The following is a 20,658-nucleotide window of genomic DNA, read 5'->3' on the forward strand; positions in this document are numbered from 1 at the left end:
TTCTATCATCTTTTTAATATTACGTTATACTGAGGGTTCTTTCCTCTAACATTATTGAGGTATACTTGATAATTAAAAATTGGGTGCATTTAAGGCATACAACTTGATGATTTGATGTATGTATACATTACGAAATATATACCACAGGACGGGCGCGGTGGCTCAAGCCTGTAATCCCAGCACTTTGGGAGGCCGAGGCGGGCGGATCACAAGGTCAGGAGATCGAGACCATCCTGGCTAACACGGTGAAACCCCGTCTCTACTAAAAATACAAAAAATTAGCTGGGCGTGGTGGCGGGCGCCTGTAGTCCCGGCTACTCGGAAGACTGAGGCAGGAAAATGGTGTGAACCCGGGAGGCGGAGCTTGCAGTGAGCCGAGATGGCGCCACTGCACTCCAGCCTGGATGACAGCAAGACTCTATCTCAAAAAAAAAAAAAAAAAAAAAGAAAAAGAAAAAAGGAATATACACCACAATCAAGCTAATTAGTATATTCATCACTTCATGTAGTTACACGTGTGTGCGTGTGTGTGTGTGTGTTACATTTTCTTTGACCATTCATCCATTGACCAATATTTAGTTGATTCCGTATCTTGATATTGTAAATAATGCTTCAGTGAACATGGAAGTACAGATATCTCTTTGAGATACTGATTTCCTTTCCTTTGAGTAAATACCCGGAAGTGGGATTGCCAGATGATATGGTAGTTCTATTTTTAATTTTTTGAGGAATCTCCATACGGTTTTCCACAACGGCTGTACCAATTTTCATTCTCACCAACAATGTATAAGGGTGTCCTTTTCTCCAAACCCTTGCCAACACTTACTGTCTTTTTTTTACAGTAGCCAATATTTTGAATGTTTGCATGTTTAAGATTGCCCATTGCTAAACGTGGCTTACTAGGAAGTTTATGGTCATAGCTTACTCCTATGAATTTCAAATACCTATTTCTGAGGTTTTCTGGAATCTGGTGGTATTAGGAGAAATCTAAAGGCAGCCTGGTTTCTTTCTAGGTAAGGAACTTTTTTTTTTTGTGGGGGCAGAGTGGGGGGGCTGGATACCTAAAGAATTTCTTCTTTATCCTAGCAAATGATTTGATGTTGATTTTCCTGTATCATTATCTTCTGAAATATGTTGTGTCCATTCAAACTTTAGTTATACATTCTTCCTTTTTCTTCAGGAATTTTTTTCTCATTTTCATTGGATATTTTAATTTCCATTTGGTAGGTTCCCTCATTTAGGGATACCATTTATCCATAAGTTGGATACTTTTTGTTTGCTTTTCATGTCCATTGATATCTGTTTAATTACTTTAATCATGTTATCTTTTCATTCTGCATTAATTTTGATTATATTCAGTATTTCCTCTATGCCAGAAACTTGGTAATCAGTCATGTCTTTTCTTTTCTGTTTCTAATTTACTTATTAGTTCTGTAAAAGCTCTTTGTTTCCTTAGCTCCTTAATCTCCCCTTGTTATGCCATTCTACCATTTTAATCATCTTTAAAATCTGTAAATCCACCATAGTGTAGCAGAGCCCTTCCACATTTATCTCCTGTAATCCTTACGACAATTTTAAAGAACAGATATTATCTTCTTGCCTCAGCATCTTACTATAAAAACTTTTCACATACAGGAAAGATGACAGAATTTTACAGTGAACTCCCATCTTCTTAACACCTAAATTCTACAACCAAGATTTTATTACATTTGCTTTACTATCTCTCTTTCTTTCTAAATCTTTCTTTCCATTCCTCAATCCCTTGCATTTCAAAGTTGCAGACATCAGTACACTTCCTCCAAATACATTAGCAGAATCTCTATTTTTGAGTTCTTTCATTGCCTTTCTGTTCTGTGTAAGATTTTCTTTAACATGAAGCACTCTTGGAATTTTCTACCATTTTTTATTCCTCCCCTCTCCATGCAAGATTTGATTATTCATCTTTTTTTTCTTTCCTAGAATGTTTTAACATTTTATCTATTTATTTTTGTGATCTTATATGAGGTGACTTCAAAAAGTTGGGAGAAAAATAGAACTAAAAGATAAAAGTAAAATATATAAAATTTATTTCTCAACGTAAGTTTCATCAAGTTCAAGGCACTTTTGTAAGTGGTGATACCAGCCATTTAGTTAATCTGTAAAGAACTGAGGATCCTAGGAATTTAACCATATCAGTACAGACTTTTTTACATTGTTAAGTGAAGAAAAATAGGTGCCTTTAAATAAATTTTAAGGTTAGGAAGCAAAAAGAAGACAGACGACGTCAAATCAGTACTGTAAGGTGGCTGCCTAGTGATTTCCCATTGAAATACTCACAGAATTGTCCTTGTTGGATGAGAAGAATGAACAAGAGCATTGTTGTGGAGGAGGACTCTCTGATGAAGCTTTCCCAGGTGTTTTTCTGCTAAAGCTTTGGCTAACTTTATCAAAACACTCTCATAATAAGATGTTATTGTTATTTGGCTTTCTGCAAGTCAACAAGCAAAATGCCTCGAGCATCCTAAAGAACTGTTTCCAAGTTCTTTGCTCTTGACAAGTCCACCTTAGCTTTGACTGGACCCTTTCCACCTCTTGGTAGCCACTGGTTTGATTGTCTTTTGTCTTCAGGACCATACTGGCAGAGCCATATTTCATCTATTGCAATTCTTAGAAGAAACGCTTCAGGATCTCGATCCCACTTGTTTAAGATTTCCATCGGCAACCCTGCTCTTGTCTGCAGCTGATCTTGGTGCAACAGTTTTGGCATCCATTAAATGGAAAGTTTGCTCAACCTTCAGTTTTCAATTACATTGTGAACTGATTGAGAGGTCTATGGTGTTGGCTATTTGTGCTGTTAATCACCAGCCCTCTTCAATTAGGGCACAAACAAGATTAATTTTTTCCTGGCAAGTCGATGTAGATGGTTTGGTGCTGTGGGCTTCATCTTCAACATGAACTCATCCCTTCTTAGAAAGAGTTATTGATTTGTGAACTGCTGATTCCTTTGGAGCATTGTCCTCATAAGCTTTTCATAAAGTATCCATGATGTCACTGTTCTTCCACCCAAGTTTCACCGGAAATTTGCTCTTTGTTCTTGCTTCTATTTTAGCAGAATTCATATTGCTCTGATAGGGACTCTTCAAATTGTTGTCTTATCTTTCCTGTTTCCCCAAACTAGATTCTGTTCAGACATGTTATAACAAGTTAGTACAAGTTTATTTTGGCACAAAAGAATTTGAAATCCCTGCATAGTTTTTTTGATAATAGACATTGACCATGAACTTTTTGAGGACCCCTCCATAGCTGCTATGCCATCTCTTTTCATTTTAATGTATGTAGCTCCGTCAGGTCTTCCCATTGGTTGGCTGGGCGCAGTGGCTCACACCTGTAATCCCAGCACTTTGGGAGGCTGAGACGCGTGGATCACCTGAGGTCAGGTATTCGAGACCAGCCTGACTAACAGGGTGAAACCTCATCTCTACTAAAAAATATAAAAATTAGCTGGGCGTTGTGGCAGATGCCTGTAATTCCAACTACTTGGGAGGCTGAGGCAGGAAAATCACTTGAACCCGGGAGGTGGAGGTTGCGGGGAACTGAGATCATGCCACTGAATTCCAGCTTGGGCAACAGAGTGAGACTCCTCACAAAAAAAAAAAAAAAGACGTCCCATTGGTTTCAACATGGTGTGGGAAATGCCTCCTGGCCTCGCTTTGCATTTTATTGGATGTTATTTTTTCTTCCCCTCAGAGTTTCACTTTGAGGGCTAGGCATATCATGGTTTCCTGTAGCTGGATATGGGGCTTGTGCAGAGGAAGGTGGGGGTGCTGGGCTGTGGTCAGCGGACACTCTGGATCTAAGAATGCCTCTGCCCTGCTATTTCATTGGGAAGTTGCTTCCACTAGGGTTCTCTTCCACTGGAAGACTTTAGTTCAAATCAGAGCCCTCCTCTCCCATGGCTCCTCTGCAGGCATCCTGTCTTAAATGTCCACCCCCCTCCACTCCAGGTGTTTTGGAGGGTCCCCTCTGCCCTCTCTGCGGGTCTGTTTCCCACTGTGGGTCTGTAAGGAGCTACACAGAACTGCACCCAGCCTCACTATGATGACTCCAACTCACTTCAACTCTTTCTTTTTTTCATCATTACTTTCTGAAATTTATGTTGAGGATATCTCTACTTCATAATAAGCTGAGCCAGGTTGTATTCACTTAATACGGATCAGATGTGACACAAGCTATTCACAATGGCTGCAGTTAGCAAGGCTAGGTCAAGTCTTCTGCTCATCCCGTCTATCCCAGCGCCTCAGGGCTCCTCAGATGGCCTGGGCTGCTCACCATCCCTCCTTTATCTGAAGAGCTAGGGACAGCAGAGCCAGCCACAGAGCTCCAAATGCAAGACACAAGCGCTTGATCGCACTGCCCTCTGCCTCTGTCCTGAGGGGACAGCGTTCCCATCCAGCCCACTCAGGACATTGCTTTGGTGTGATGAGCTGTGTGGATCTCACAGTGGGGCCTGTTAAAGAAAGATTTAAAAAAGATTAAAAAACCCTCGGTCCTAGGCTCAGGTATGAGCCTGTCACCTAAGGACAGTATCAAGGAAGAAGAAAGACAAATGATCCTCCAGAAAAATGGTCACAGGACATGATCACACATTTCACAGAAGAAAAATCCCTAGTGGCTAATAGGCATGGAAAAATATGCTCGCCCACCCCAGCTGGGGCTGGGGAGTGCCCATTCATATGGCCACGGGACACCCCTGGACAGGGTGCAGCAGTGACAAGAGGGACGTGGGCTGGGGTAGCATAGGCTGTGCTGCTGGGAGGAGAGGAGCTCAGCCAGCCTTGGGGGACAGGAAGGTAAGCCCTGATGAGGCTGAATAAGTAATACTGGAGAGTTTAGCACCAGGCACCCTCCCCAGGGCAGCACCTCCATGAGAGGGGAAGATAGGAACAGGTTTCAGGAGCACTGTTTACAGTAGTGAAAGATCGCCATGCCCACCGGGGGGAATTGGATAAATAAATTATGGTGTATTCCTATGCACACATTCTAACAGCAATGAAAATAGACGAACTAAATTTACATGACTCCACTCCAAGACCGCTTAGAGCAACAATGGTGAGTGAAGAAAGCATGTTTCCGTGTTATAAATTCAATGTGACTTGGTGTAAATAGTAATAATAAAGCATCACGCTGCACTCTTTAGATGCACGGCCAGATTAAAATATTCTTCTCAGGACGGGAGGAATGCATGCTAACTTCAGGAGAGGACTTTGCTTGCTGGGAAAGGAGTGGGACAAGGGAGGGGTACAGGGCAAACCTCAACTGTCGCTGTATTATTTTATTTCTTTAAAACTCTCCGAGGCACCTGTGGAAATGTGAAGAGCAGCTGCCCGGGAATCCTGCGTGGAATGAGCAGAAGTGGTGAAGGGTCCTCTTTCCCTGACTGTCGCTTAGAAAGACCCTCTGCTTTCATGCAGGTCACTTTCTGGAAGTACTGCATGGAGTGAGTGAATGCTTGGTGGAAGGGCAGCTGTGTAGTTTACCTGTGCCTGCTGAAATCCAAATGCATCATCCGGGACCAAGTGAATTCAATAAAGGAGGAGACTCCTACTCAAGCAGGCAACTAGACTTTGAGGACAGAAATAGGAATCTGGGCCTAATGAAGAGAGCTATGTTAGCTTTGCTCTACAATGCAATTTACGTTTACTTCTTTTTAAGATAATGTGAATTCATTGCCTGGTTGACATTTATCTTATTTCTCATATTTGGGCATGAGTGTGATTTCACCCCCATTGTCCACAGCATGCTGAGCAGCACTCAGAGCAGCAGTGTGGCAAGAGTCAGACTGAACTTCTTGTCCGCAGTCTGACCTCCGGCAAGCCTGTTCATCATTCTCGGCCTCAGTTTCCCTGATGGTAAAATGATGGGTGTCACTAGATAATCTCTAATGTGTGGCCCAGTTCTAACATTCAAAGGTAAAATGAACTGCGTGCAAGAAGCACCCAGATGTCTAGGAAGTAGTCCCTGCCTTTGTTTTGCCACAGAATAGGCATAAGATAGAACCGAGTAGAGACAGAGAAGCTGCACTAAAATCCTTTCATCTCAACAGTTTGCACCTCCTGAATTTCTAGTTGTTTTCTTTAAGAAAATTTGCTGTCAAATACCAACATTGCTCATTTGTTGATTTTCCACTATACTTGGCTTCAACAATAAGCTCTGCTTTGTATCAAAAGCCCAGAGACGTGAAGTGCATTTGTTCTTGGAAAATTGGGAGGTGGATCTATTTATCTACTGATTATAAAAGTTATAGATTCTAACAGAAAATTTAGAAAATACAGAAAAATTTAAAGAAGAGGCCAGTGCTGTGGCTCACACCTGTAATTCCTGCACTTTGGGAGGACGAGGCAGGCAGATCACCTGAGATCAGGAGTTCGAGACCAGTCTGGCCAACATGGTGAAACCCTGCCCCTACTAAAAATACAAAATTAGCCAGACACGATGGTGTGCACCTGTAATCCCAGCTACTCGGAAGTCTGAGGCAGGAGAATCACTTGAACCCGGGAGGAGAAGTTTGCAGTGAGCCGATATTGTGCCATTGCACTCCAGCCTTGGCAAAAAGAGCAAAACTCCATCTCAAAATCAAAAAAAGAGAAGAAATCAAAATCACCCAGAGGACAGCATCATTAATATTTTATGTACTTTCTTCCAAACTTTTCAATGGGATATATAAATTCAAATATAGAAATCTTAAAATTGCAGAAAAGTGCAAATATAACAAGCACTTGTATATTCACCACATAGAACTAACAACTGTTAATATAGATTACATCTCTTGCAAGTCTTTTTTGCTTTCTAAGGAATTAAAACATAGTATAGAGTTGAGGCCCCCTTGACGCCCGCCACCCCTGCCCCAGGCCCGTTGCAACAACCAGTCATTCAATGTGTATCTTCTCAGTCTATTTCAGCCTATTCAGTCTATATGTGTGTAACCATGAGTGATTTGGAATACTGTTTTTTATGTTTCTAAGAATGCATATAAATGATATTATACTAAAAGTTTTATTCAGCACACCTTTGATTAAACATTCTTTTTTTGAGAAATATTAATGTTGATTCATAAATATCTATTTTTTTTTTTTTGAGACAGAGTTTCACTCTTGTTGCCCAGGCTGGAGTGTAGTGGCAAGATCTTGGCTCACTGCAACCTCTGCCTCCCGGGTTCAAGCGATTCTCCTGTCTCAGCCTCCTGAGTAGCTGGGATTACAGGGGTCTGCCACTACGCCCAGCTAATTTTTGGTAATTTTAGTAGAGATGGGGTTTCACCATGTTGGCCAGGCTGGCCTTGAACTCCTGATCTCAGGTGATCTGCCCGCCTCAGCCTCCCAAAGTGCTGGGATTACAGGCGTGAGCCACCGCACCTGGCCAGATCTAGTTTTTATTAACACGCTGGATAGTCTTTAATTGACTGAAAATATTCCATGTTTTACTCATCCATTCCGTGAGTACTGGACATTTGAGTTTATTCCAATATTTTGCTGTCATAATGGTGCACATGAGGACTCTTCATGCATATGTCTCTAGTGTAACCTTGAACCTCTCCCCAGAGGGGTGGAATCATTGAGTCATACGGGAGTCACATCTTCAGTTAGTATGGATATTTTGAGTTACTGGACTGGTCTCTCTCTCTCTTTCTCTGCCTCTTTCTGTATATGTGTATGTATTGTATATGTTTTTAAATTATACTTTTTCAAGAACTATTTCAAAATGAGGATTCCCCTGTATCACTGGTGGTTTTAAAAACATCGTTGCTGCATATGGAATATCATTCCATTATATGGATGCAGGAAACCACTAACTGCACGGTCCAGCATTGCTCAGGAGCATCACTGAGCTGTCCAATACCATGGACCCCACGAACACCTTTACATTCCAGGGAATCCGTGGCATCCGGGGGATTCAGGCTGACCAGCTTTGCCTCTTACAAACTGGGTGAACTTAGCAAGTTCCCTAACTTCTAGGAGCCTCAGAATTCCCACCTGGACCAGGGGACCATAATAATATAGTCAGCTCCTAGGGTTGGGAGGATTACTAAATGCAGGCGTATCAACAGCCATCAACATTGTTGACTGTAATTAGGGTTATGACTGACCGAGAACTGTTGAGAATTAGGTTTGCGCTTCCGGACTAGTTTTCACCTGAAAGCCTTGGAGCTACAGGCATTTTGTTCAGGGATGTACACAGAGTCTAGTCCAAAGCGTTTAAACTACAAAGTGCACTGTCATCTCCTGGAGGGTCTCATCGAAATAGAGATTGGGATCAGAAGGTCTGGGTGGGGCCCAAAGTCCTGCATTTTGAGATCCTCTACCTCCAGGCACGGCTCACCTGACACTGCTGGTCTGAGTATCAAGGCTTTGTAGCATCTTCCCCGGGGCCCTGTCTCTTCCCATAGGCAGCACATGTATGGGGAGTCAATTTGTTTTTGCAATTAAGGATAAGTGGGAAAAAGACCTCCTAGCTTAATAAGGTATGTTGTCTTGCCCTGAGATACTAATAAATATTTTCCCTTACTCTGGACCCAGCATTATGGTCTGAATATTTATGTCCTCCCCAAATTGCTATGTTGAAACCCAACCCCCAGTGTGATGGTGTTAAGAGGTGGGGCCTTTGGAAGTTGAGTGAGTCTTGAGGTAAAGGGCTTTACAAGAGACCCCAGAGACCTTGCTGCTTCTGTCTCTGTACCATGTGAGGACACAGTGAGAAGCTGAAAGTCTGCAGCTCTGAAGAGGGCTCTTCCCAGAACCCAGCCATGCTGGCACCCAGCCTCTTCAGCTGTGAGAAATAAATGTCTATTGTTTATGAGCCACCCCACGCATGGCATTTTGTTGTAGCAGGCCAGGCTGAGTGAGACACCCAGAAAACAGTTTCATATTATCTAATAACCTGAAGGCTTTTTGACCACTTATTAAAAACAAAGGAATAAATCTCGGCCGGGCGCGGTGGCTCACGCCTGTAATCCCAGCACTTTGGGAGGCCGAGGCGGGTGGATCATGAGGTCAGGAGATCGAGACCATCCTGGCTAACAAGGTGAAACCCCGTCTCTACTAAAAATACAAAAAAATTAGCCGGGCGCGGTGGCGGGCGCCTGTAGTCCCAGCTACTCGGGAGGCTGAGGCAGGAGAATAGCGTGAACCCGGGAAGCGGAGCTTGCAGTGAGCCGAGATTGCGCCACTGCAGTCCGCAGTCCGGCCTGGGCGACAGAGCGAGACTCCGTATCAAAAAAAAAAAAAAAAAAAAAAAAAAAAAAATCTCACTTAGGAATCTTGGATAACGGATGAAGATTGTGCTAACTGGACGTGGCAACATCCATATAAAAAGCAAGACAGTCAGTCAGCTAGAGAATCAACCTCTTGTCTGTGCATGCTGGAGGCGGGGAAGGGCAAAGTGAGTTTGCTTCCTTCCTCCCTCCCTCCTCTCCACTCTAGGGAGACTCCAGGGCAGAACAACCCTCCTTAAATTGCTGTGTGGCTTCCAGTTGCTGGAGGCAGTGAGGTGTAAAGTGAGTCCCTCCATCCCCTCTCCATCACCTCATGTTCCACTCTCACCCAAAGATCCAGGTGGCTGGAAGACCCTGGGCAGAGCCCTGGCCCCGCCCTAGTGGCTGTCCTCCCACCTGCCCTGTTCCTGCTGGACTCTGTCCCTGAGCTGTTTCTCCTGGTTGTCAACAGTGCACAGACAGAGCAGAGGACAGGGCTGCGTGGGGATGGGCATGGCCCCTATGCCACCTGCAGGTTCCCTTCCTCTGAGGCTCCCCACCCACGGGTGGTCTTCCCTCCTCCTGATCCACTAAGCCTTTGCCTGATCACCTCCTAACACTGCCAGCAGCTCCCAAGCTGTAGACCCGCAATTCTCCCAAAGTTGGCTGTGGTACTGCTGGACTCCTTAGCCCTAGGAATCCATCCCTCGCTGCCCATGGCTGTCCCTTCACCACCCCCACCACACTCTCTAGAGCTCCACAGTTCTTCCAGCCTGCTGGCCGCCCAACCTCTGCCTTCTGAGCCGCCCCCAACACCTGGACCCCAGCCGAATATGGTTTCTTATTCAAGAAGTTCCTATTCTTGTCCTATGCCCATATGGCCCTCAATAAACATTTGCTGGGGGAGTGAGTCAGATGAGCACTAATGACTCTCAAATCTGTATTGTTACATCTGACCTCTTCTCATTGGCTCTGTGAAATTTAATAATTCAAAGTTAAAGCTGTTGGACTTTAAATTGTTCTGAGCCTTGAGAGGAATGTGGCTATGCAGCCTGAGTCACGTGGTTGCACCTTGTGCCTTTTTTCCCCTGTAAATAATAAAGACCAAGTGGTGCCAGAGATAAAACGCCCTCAGATCACTGCCCCTCCTCATGGAGTAATAAAACATTCTTCCTTGGCATGCAGCAATCTGTAACCAGTCAATCCCCGCACCCTATATGCTTGTCTTTATGGAAAATGTTGTTCCTGCTAAGACTTCCCTGTCTCTGTCTAGGTGAGTGAAACCTTAACTTCACTTTGGGATGCTGACCTCATTCGTTCGAAGTTGGGGTCTCCCGGGTGGCCATCCTCAAGCTTTGTGTTCAAATAAACTATAGTTAATCATATTTTCTGAACCTCATTATTTGAGGTTGACAGCTTATGTGCTAGTTGGCATCACTGGGATGTGCCATGAGCAAGCCAGACCCAATGCGTCCAAAAATGATGCCATTGTCTTCTTCCTTAATCGGTATGAGTCCAGGGCCCCCATCGCCCAGCTGCCCAACCTGCAAATCTGGAATTATAATTGCCTCCCTCTTGATTGAATGAGGATTGCCCCCCTTCAATCACATTCCATGTCCTGCCAATTTATTTCCACTCAGTTCCTTTCCCTAGGACTCAGCAATGGGGTCCAGGAAAGAATAGTCTGGTGGATGCTGGTTCCCAGGTGCCTGGTCCATGGGGCCAAGACCAGGGCAGGAGTTTCTCTGTTTCAGCCACAGGGCCTCAAGGAAGAGCCGGCACCAGATGCGCATCCTGCTTCCAAGCCTCTGTTTGTGCTGCCGTATAGGGAGAGGGTGAGTGGATTCCACCTCCATCCGGGTGTCCCGGCTGCCTCACTGCCAGCAATAATTTGGCAAGAAAAACTTCCAAGCTTGCTCTTTAATCTATATTGGAAGCATAATCTATGCTAGACACTTGTGCAAAGTGAGAAACAATAATTCTACCAATTGATATAAAATATTGATCACAAAAGCTGTCTGTAAAATATGACACAAAAGAACCTACCATACTCAAATAATAAGATATCAGAAGTGATTACCACAAATAACATGGTCTTAGGGAAGAGCAGCCTTCTCACTCATCTTTTATGCTGTTAGTGAAGAATGTCTGATGCCTAAGGCAGACAAACACATAACTCACTCTCTCAAAATTTCAACCCGATATCGGGAGAGGATGAGAGAGGAAATCCCAGACTCCAGCCCTGGACCATTATCATAAGAAACTTTGGAAATATGAAAAACAATATTTTATCTCTGACTGAGTTGGTAAGAACAATTCCCAAATTTAATGAAGATCAAATAAAGCCACTAGTAGCACCATTACTCAAGTCCAGGAAAGTGGACAACAGGGTTTGGGGAAGCACTTCAGAGTGCCTGCCGAATAACGCCATTGGAGACAGCCCATCTTCACACCCATACTGTGAATAAAGTAAGGTAGATCACATGACCTGGCAAAGGCAACTTCTTTTTTTTTTTTTTTTTTTGAGACAGGATCTCACTCTGTCACCCAGGCTAGAGTACAGTGGCACGATCTCAGCTCACTGCAACCTCCGCCTCCTGAGTTCAAGCGATTCTCCTGCCTCAGCCTCAGCCCCTGCCTCAGCAGGGATTACAAGTGCCCGTCACCACGCTTGCCTGATTTTTGTATTTTTGGTAGAGACATGGTTTTGCCATATTGACCAGGCTGGTCTTGAACTCCTGACCTCAGGTGATCCACCCACCTTGGCCTCCCAAAGTGCTGGGATTATAGGTGTGAATACCAGGTCAGCTGTAAGCCCCATTGGCCTGACAGGACCAGGGGAGCACTGCCTTAGACCACATACCCCTAACACAAGCCATAATGCAAGCCTTGGTGCCAATTCCAACTGCTCCAGGCATAGTGCTGTAGTGGGGCATGGCTGCCAGGCTGGGGCAGCAAGCAGACATGGGGTATATGACAGTGGCCTCTGGACAGCATTACAGGCCACTGTGCTGCTTTCTTTGGGCAGGTCTCCACTTTTACGGCCACATCTCCCTTGGCATGGGATTGGGAATGCTGTTTACTTTGGAACCAGACTACCTGGCTCCACCACACACTCCCGTCCCCTCTGCTTCATCCTCATCCTTGTAATTGACCCCAGAGAGCAACACTCGCACAGAGGACTTACATAGAGTTAGAGCTGGCTCCTGCTTGTCCTCCAGGACTTGGTTTGAAGCCACCTCCTCTGGGCTGCCTTGTGGCCCACCTTGGCCAGGTGAGGCCCTTTGGCTGCCTGAGCAGCATACACCTGCTCTCTGAAATGTGCCTGGCAACCATGTGGGCACCTGTCAACCCATTTGTCTCACTCCCACCATAGGCTCTGTGAGGCCGGTGACCTGCCTCTAGCCACAGAGCTGTGGACAGGGCCTTCAATAGCAGTCCCTTGCTTCCTCTTCCTGTGTGTCACTACAGCAAGTGGGTTCCATGGGAATGGGCTGGGTGCTCACCTTGTGCCTGTCACAGGAACACTGACTGGCAGGCCAGGCTGGGCCAGCTCCCCGGAGCCTTACCGGGCCTAGGCCAGTCTCTTGGCCTCTGAATACAGAGGACTTTAGGACAGACTGCTGGCCAATGACACTGAAAGTCAAGTCTCCAGGACCTTGGGTAGGTGACAAAATAAGGAAAGAATAAGGAAAGGAGGGAGTTCAATTGGTGTCCCTGGCCTCTGGGGATGACCTGGGTGGAAGAGGCCCATCCAGGAGGAGGATGCAGAGGTGTTTGAGCTGCAGCTGTGCAGAGGCTGCCTGGAGCAGGCAGAGCTCACAGGTGCACATTCCCTTGTGAGCCCAGGTAGGGCTTCAGGGCTGGCCTGCAGCCTTGCAGATGAGCTGTGCAAGGTTACTGCAGAGGGGCACCACCTCCCTTCTGTTCCCGTGACTTATTTGACTGTCTTTATGACAGTGCCACTCTGTCATATAATTACTGGAGCTTTGTAGCCAGTCTTAAAATCAGGAGTGTTAGTTCTCTTTGTCCTTTTTTTTCGAAGTTGTTGTAGATATTCTAAGTCTTTTGCATTTACATATACATTTTATGATCATTTTGTTATGATGTACAAAAAAATCTGCTTGAGTGGGATTATGTTGAATCTGTAGATGAATTTGGGGAGAACTGACATCCTAATCCTATTGAGTCTTCTCACCCAAGAACATGATATAAGCCTCCTTTAATTTCTCTCAACAGTGTTTTGTAGTTTCCAAATCTTTCATCAGGTTTATTCCATAATTTCATATTTTCTGATGCTACTTTCATGGTATTTAAAGGATTTTAACGTATGATTTTTATTGCTAGTATACAGAAATACAATAGGTTTTTTTTTTTTTTTTTTTTTTTTTTTTGTATAGGACTCTGTAACCTGCAAGCTTGCTACCCTCACCTATCAGTTTGAGGCATTTTAAGACAATTTCCACTGAATTTTCTACATAGATGATCATGGCACCTGCGAATAGAGAATTTTAATTCTTCCTTTCCAACCTGAATGCTCGCTCTTTCTTTCTTTCTTTCTTTCTTTCTTTCTTTCTTTCTTTCTTTCTTTCTTTCTTTTCTTTTCTTTTTTTTTGCCTTATTGTATTGTGCTGATGAGATCTTTCAGTGCAATGTTGAATAGAATAGAAGTGGTGAGCAGACATCTCGCTCCTGGTCTTAGGGGAATATCTGGGAATATCTTCAGTCTGTCACTATTCAGTATGATGTTTCTGTAGGTTTTTGTTTTTTTTTTTGACATCCTTTATCAGGTTGAAGAAGCCCCCTTCTTTTTACACTTTGTTAAGTGCTTTTGTGAAGAATGGGTGCTGGATTGTCTCAAATGTTTTTTCTCTATCGATTGAGATGAAAATATAGTTTTTCTGTTTTAGTTTGTTAATATGGAGATTACATTTGTTGATTTGGGAATGCTAAATGAATCTTGCATTCCTCAGATAAATTTGGCCATGATGTACTGATCTTTTTATACATTGCTGGATTTGATTTACTATCATTTTGTTAAGAATTTTTATGTCTATGTTCACAAGGGATATTGATCTGTAGTTTTATATTTTTTGTAATGCCTTTTCCTGGCTTTGGAATCAGGTAATGATGGCTTTTATAATCAGTTAAGAAGTATTCCTTCCTCTTTTGTTTTCTGGAATAACTTTTTGGTAGAACTTGTATTATTTCTTCCTTAAATGTTTGGTGGAATTAGTTAATTTTTCTGGGCCAGGAGTTTTCTCTGTGGAAAACATTTTACTATAATTTTGTTTTCTTAATAGATACAGAGATAGATAGGTTATCTATTTCTTTTTGTGTGAGTTTTGCTAGTTTGTTACTTTCAATAAATTTACCCATCTTATTTAAATTTTCAAATGTATTGGCATAAATTTGTTTATAATTATATCACTTTCCTAGGGTTTCTGTAGCAAATTACCATAAACTGAGTGGCTTAAAACAACAGAAATCTCACGTTTGTGGAGGTTAGAAGTCCAAAATGAAGGTATGGGCAGGGTTGGTTCCTTCCAGAGGCTCTGGGTGGAACTTGTTCCACACCTCTCTCCTGGTTTCTGGTGGTTTATGGAAATCCTTAGCCTTCTGTGGCTCTTAGGTACTTTAGTCTCTGCTTCCACCTTCATGTGACATTTTCCCTGTGTGTCTCTCCGTGTCCAAATCTTCCTGTCTTATAAGGACACCAATCATTGGATTTAGGATTCATTCCAATCCAGCATAACCTCATATTAACTTGATTACGTCTGCAAATATCCTATTTACAAGGAATGTCATACTCACAGGTTCCAGATACACACAATTTTTTTGGAATTTTATTTAACACAGTACAATAATATTCCTTTATTATCCTTTTGTGAGTAATGTCCCTTCTCCCATTCATGATTTTGGTAATTTGTGACTTTCTCTCTTCCCTTATGTGTTTGATAATATTATTAATCTTTCCAAGGAACTGAATTTTGGTTTTGTTGATTTATATATATATATATTTTTTTCAGTTTTCTGTATTTCTATTATTTCCTTTTTTCTACTTACTTTGGGTTTAATTTTCTTTTGTGTTCTAATTTCTCAAGGTGATATCATTGATTTAAGACTTTTCTTACTTTCTGGTATGGGTGTTTATAAAGTGCTGCAGATTTTCTGTCAGTACTTCTTAAGTGGCATTGCATAAATTTTGATATAATGTTTTTATTTTCATCAGTTCAAAATAATTTCTAATTTAACTTTTGACTTATTCTTTGTTTTATGTTATTTAGAAGTGTGTTGCTTAGTTTTCAGATATTTGAAACCATTTCAAATGTCTTTCTGCTTTTGATTTCTAATATAATTTATTTGTGGTCAGAGAACAGACTGTATTCCTTGAAACTTCTTAAACTGATACAGATGTGTATGTGTTTTCTGGTCCAGAACATGGTTTATCTAAGTAAATGTTCTGAGTATGCTTCAGAAGAATGTGTACAGGAAATGTTCAGAGTGTGCTTGGGAAGAACGTGTACAGGAAATGATCTGAGCGTGTTTGAGAAGAACGTGTGCAATGAGTGTTCAGAGTGTGCTTGAGAGGAACGTATCCGGGAAATGTTGGGAGTGTGCGTGAGAAGAATGTGTACAGGTAATGTTCGGAGTGTGGTTGAGAAGAGTATGTATACGAAATGTTTGGAGTGTGCTTGAGCGAAATGTTGTGTATTCTGCTTTTCTTGCATGGAGCATCCTGTTAGTAGCTTTTGGGTCAGCTTGGTTGACAGTGTGGTTCAAATCATCAATATTTTTACTAATTTTCTTTCTGCTTAATTGATCAGTTATTGAGAAATGAGTATTGTAATGTCTAACTATAACTGTAGGTTTATCTATTGCTCCTTGCAGTTCTATCAGTTTTTTATTCATGTAACTTTGGAACTCTGCTATGAAGGCAAAAATGGGTATGACTTTTATGTTTTTGTGATGAGATTACCACTGTATTATTATAAGATAAACTTTCTAGCCCATAGTAATATAGATATTTTTGCCCTGAGACCTACTTTATCTGATACTAATATCGTCACTCCAGATTTCTTTTTCTTAGTGTCTTTAGCATGGCATATCTTTTTCCTGTCCTTTTAACTTATTTGTGTCTTTACTTAAAGCATATTTCTTATAGGCAGCATATTGTGAGGTATTGATTTTTTATTCAGTCTGACAATATCTGCCATTTAATTGGAGGTATTTAGGCCATTTATATATAATGTAATTATTGACATTGTTAAGTTTAAATCTATTATCTTGCTATTTGTTTTATGTTGGTGCCACCCATTCTTGGTCTCTTTTACCTCTTTCTCTGCTTTCTTTGGGATATATTAAATATTCTAAAAAGTAACTTTGTTATCTACTATTTTGGCTTTGTTTTGTTATTTTTGTCGTTGCTTTAAGTTTTATAGTATACAGTCATACATCACTTAGCAACAGAGATATGTTCTGAGAAATGCATCATTAGGCGATTTTATCATTGTGTGAACATCATAGAGTGTACTTACACAAACATAGGTGAGATAGTCTACCACACACCTGCCCCTATGCTATATGGTATAGCCTATTGCTCACAGGCCACAAACCTGTACAGCAGGTTGCTATACTGAATACCGTAGGCAATTGTAATACAACGGTGAGTATTTATCTAAACAGGTTTAAACATAGATAAGGTACAGTTAAAATACTGTAAAGATAAAAAATGATACATCTGTATAGGGCACTGACCATGGATGGAGCTTGCAGAACTAGAAGTTGTGCTGGGTGAGTCAGTGAGTGAGTGCTAAATGAGTCAGTGAGTGAGTGCTGAGTGAACATGAAGGCCTGGGACATTACTGTACACTACCGTAGGCTTTATAAACACTCTACACTTAGGCTACACTACATTTATAAAAATGTTTTTTCTTTTTTCAATAATAAACTAACTTTAGCTTACTGTAACTTATTTCCTTTATAAACTTTTAAATTTTAATGTAAAAATTTTAAAGTTAATTTAACTCTTTTGTAATGTATAATGTGTTTACTTAAAACACAAACACATCATACAGCTGTATAAAAATATTTTTCTTTATATCCTTATTCTATAAGCTATTTTCTTTTTCTTTCTTTCTTTTCTTTTTTTTTTTACTTTTGAAACTGTTTTGTTAAAAACGAAGACACACACACACACATTGGCCTAGACCTACGCAGGCTAGGCTTTGGGATTGTTAAGATGTCACTAGGTGATAGGAATTTCCCAGCTCCATTATAATCTTGTGAGACCCCCATCATATATATGGTCTCTCATTGACCAGAACATCCTCATGCTGTGCATGACTGTACACTTTTGACTTATGGTCTGTATTTGCACAAGCCTGAGAGTCTGTGCCGCCTAAAATTTTCTGCCCTTGTGCTTCTCATGCCTCATCCTAGTTCTGGCTCTGGTTTATATGTCCTTACCTGTTAATTCTAACATCTGCATCAGCTTTGGGTCAGTTTTGAGTGACTGGTTGAAGTATTCATTGTCACTTCTATTTTCTTGTTTCCTTGTGCACCTGCTGATTTTTAATTGATGCTAGATATTGTGAGTTTTACATTGTTAGGTGCTGGATATTTTTGTACTCCTACACATAGTCTTGAGCTTTGTTTGGGGACACAATTAAGTACTTGGAAACAGTTTGATCCTTTTGGGCCTTGCCTTTGAGATTTGTTAGGAGCATTGCTCTTTTTTTTTTTTTTTTTTTTTTTTTTGACGGAGCCTCCCTCTTTCACCCAGGCCGGACTGCAGTGGCGCTATCTCGGCTCACTGCAAGCTCCGCCTCCCGGGTTCACGCCATTCTCCTGCCTCAGCCTCCTGAGTAGATGGGACTACGGGTGCCCGCCACCGTGCCCTGCTAATTTTTTGTATTTTTTTTTTTTAGTAGAGACGGGGTTTCACCGTGTTAGCCAGGGTGGTCTCGATCTCCTGACCTCATGATCTGCCCGCCTGGGCTTCCCAAAGTGCCGGGATTACAGGCATGAGCCGCCGCGCCTGGCACGTTGCTTATTTTAAGCCTAGTGTTTCCCATTGCTAAGGCCCCACGAGTCTTGTGGTTTTCAGTATGGTTGGTGGGCCCAGGCACTATTCCCAGCCTTGTTACCTTGTTGATGGGAACTGTTACCTCTGATTCTTCAGAGTGGTACTTTCCCTGGCCTCTAGTATTTTCCTCTGAAGCGTGCACTGATCAGTTCTCAGCTGAAGACTTGCAGCAGGTCCTCTTTGAGGAGTTTTCTTCCTAAGCAGCTCTCTCCCTCTCAGCACTCTGTTCTGTGGACTCTGGAGGCCTTAGATGTCTTGGGCTCTCAGCTCCATCTCTGCAACAGGGAGTCTGCCAGGCTCCTCCTGAATTTACTGTCCCTGGGTTTTGGCCTGGAAACCCTCAGGACAACAAACGGGGGCAATTTGAGGGCTCACGTCATTTCCCCCATCTTTCAGGGATCATGATCCTTTGTTACTGTCTTAGTCTCTTTCTGTTGCTTTAAAGGGATACCTGAGGCTGGTATTTATAATGAAAAGAGGTTTACTTGTCTCACAGTTCTGCAGGCTGTATAAGAAGCATGAAGCCAGCATCTGCTTCTGGTGAGGACCTCAAGCTGTTTCCACTCATGGTGGAGCAGGTGTCACATGGAGAGAAAAGAAGGAAGAGAAAGAGGTGGGGAAGGAGGTGCCAGGCTCTTTTTAGCAACCAGCTCTCTTGGAAACTAATAGAATGAGAACTTGCTCATTGCTGCTGGGGCAGCACCAAGCCGTTTATGAGGGATCAGCTTCCACAACCCACACGTCTCCCACTCAGCCCCACCTCCAACACTGGGCATCACACTTTAACGTGAGATTTGGAGGGGACAAATGTCCAGACTATACTAGTTGCCTTAACTATGGTGTCTTCCAAGTCTTTGTTTCATTTATTTGGTCAGCTTTATTTATTTATTTATTTATTTATTTATTTATTTGCGATGGAGTTTCACTCTTGTCGCCCAGGCTGGAGTGCAATGGCGCGATCTCGGCTCACTGCAACCCCCGCCTCCCAGGTTGGAGAGATTCTCCTGCCTCAGCCTCCCGAATGGCTGGGATTACAGGTGCCTGCCACCATGCCTGGCTAATTTTTGTATTTTTAGTAGAGATGGCGTTTCACCATGTTGGCCAGACTAATCTCAAACTCCTGACCTTGTGATCCACCCACCTCAGCCTCCCAAAGTGCGGGGATTACAGGCGTGAGCCACTGCACCCAGCACAGTTTTAATTGTTGTTTTGTTTTGGGAGAAAGGGTAAAACAGTCCTTATTATCTAATCTTGGCATTAACAGAGGTCCCTGTTCTGCCCATTTTAAAGCCTGGTTTTAAGCATACACACAACTTATGGGACCTTCCTGAGAAATTCAAACTCTCATTCTCTTCAGTTTGTCTCAGCAGAAATATACTTTCATCTTCAAAAGCCCTTTAAACTCTTAATTTGTTCCTTGGAAGTCAGAGCATCATTCTTCCATTGAGATTTCAAATTTTCTTTTACCTTTAGTGCAATTAATTTGTCAATGAGTCATTACAAATTTCAACTAGTGGTTTCACCACACACCAATAAAAAGTATCACTTTGGTAAATGTTATACTTACAAACCGTAAGTACATTTAACTACTCACTTCTGGCACACACACACACACAATGCATCATATTTATATCTGTTGAAGAAGCGAATGAAAAGTACATTGAATTTTGAATAAGACAGAAGTGGCTTTCTTGAATCCAGCCCTGTAAATCAAGCTTCTCTTTCCTCTCAGTCCCTACTTTGTAACCATTAAGTGAGATATGTGAAGTGTAGGAACATTTAGCAGGTGTTGACAGCCCTCCTCTCCCTTCTGCCTAGGTGGAGACTAAAGTGACTCTGTCTCAGGAGCTAAGCTGCCATGTTGACTTCTGATTAACTCTAATTCTGAGAATGCCTCTAAGATTTCCAGTTTGCCTATCATTCCTTGTAATAGCGCATGTGTACTTACTGTAAACGCTGCCCTTAGGCCAAAGCAACCTTGATGTTATTATGGAAATTACTGGCTATGATGTACATAGCATTCTTGTCTTTTCCTGGAAGGTCAACCTAATAGAGCCCGTAAGCCCTTTTCCTATGGTACAGAAATCCTTGGCCTGGGGTGGGTGACAGCACGGGGATCTAACTGTTTTGCGGCTGCCCAAGACCACGCTTCTGTCCATAAGTTCCCCAATAAATCATCCTCTACCGGCAAACTGGATTCGTTTGTCCGTACTTTGGTTTTCGCGCTCCTTCTGCATTTGAGGGTGAATTTGCATAGAGGACCCTTTCTCGAAACATTCCCCATCCTTACTGGAAGCTACTCCTTTCTCTTATTTTATGTAATTTCTTTTCACTGAAATAAGTA

General features: G+C 42.5%; 1 long non-coding RNA gene across 1 annotated transcript in view, besides 1 other annotated feature; it reads left to right on the forward strand.

The window, feature by feature from the left end:
- The window catches only part of LOC105373611 (uncharacterized), a 241,632-nt gene that overhangs the window by 166,363 nt on the left and 54,611 nt on the right, over window positions 1-20,658 (forward strand). The gene's annotated exons all lie outside the window — the stretch shown is intronic.
- Window positions 12,222-12,723: an enhancer, noted in NCBI's record as "H3K4me1 hESC enhancer chr2:129338761-129339262 (GRCh37/hg19 assembly coordinates)". NCBI's record gives its function as "activates a minimal SCP1, AML or CMV promoter by ChIP-STARR-seq in primed H9 embryonic stem cells {active_cell/tissue: H9 hESC(primed)}" and the evidence as "EXISTENCE:reporter gene assay evidence [ECO:0000049][PMID:30033119]".

This window comes from Homo sapiens, chromosome 2 (assembly GCF_000001405.40).
Source record: "Homo sapiens chromosome 2, GRCh38.p14 Primary Assembly".
NCBI lineage: Eukaryota > Metazoa > Chordata > Mammalia > Primates > Hominidae > Homo > Homo sapiens.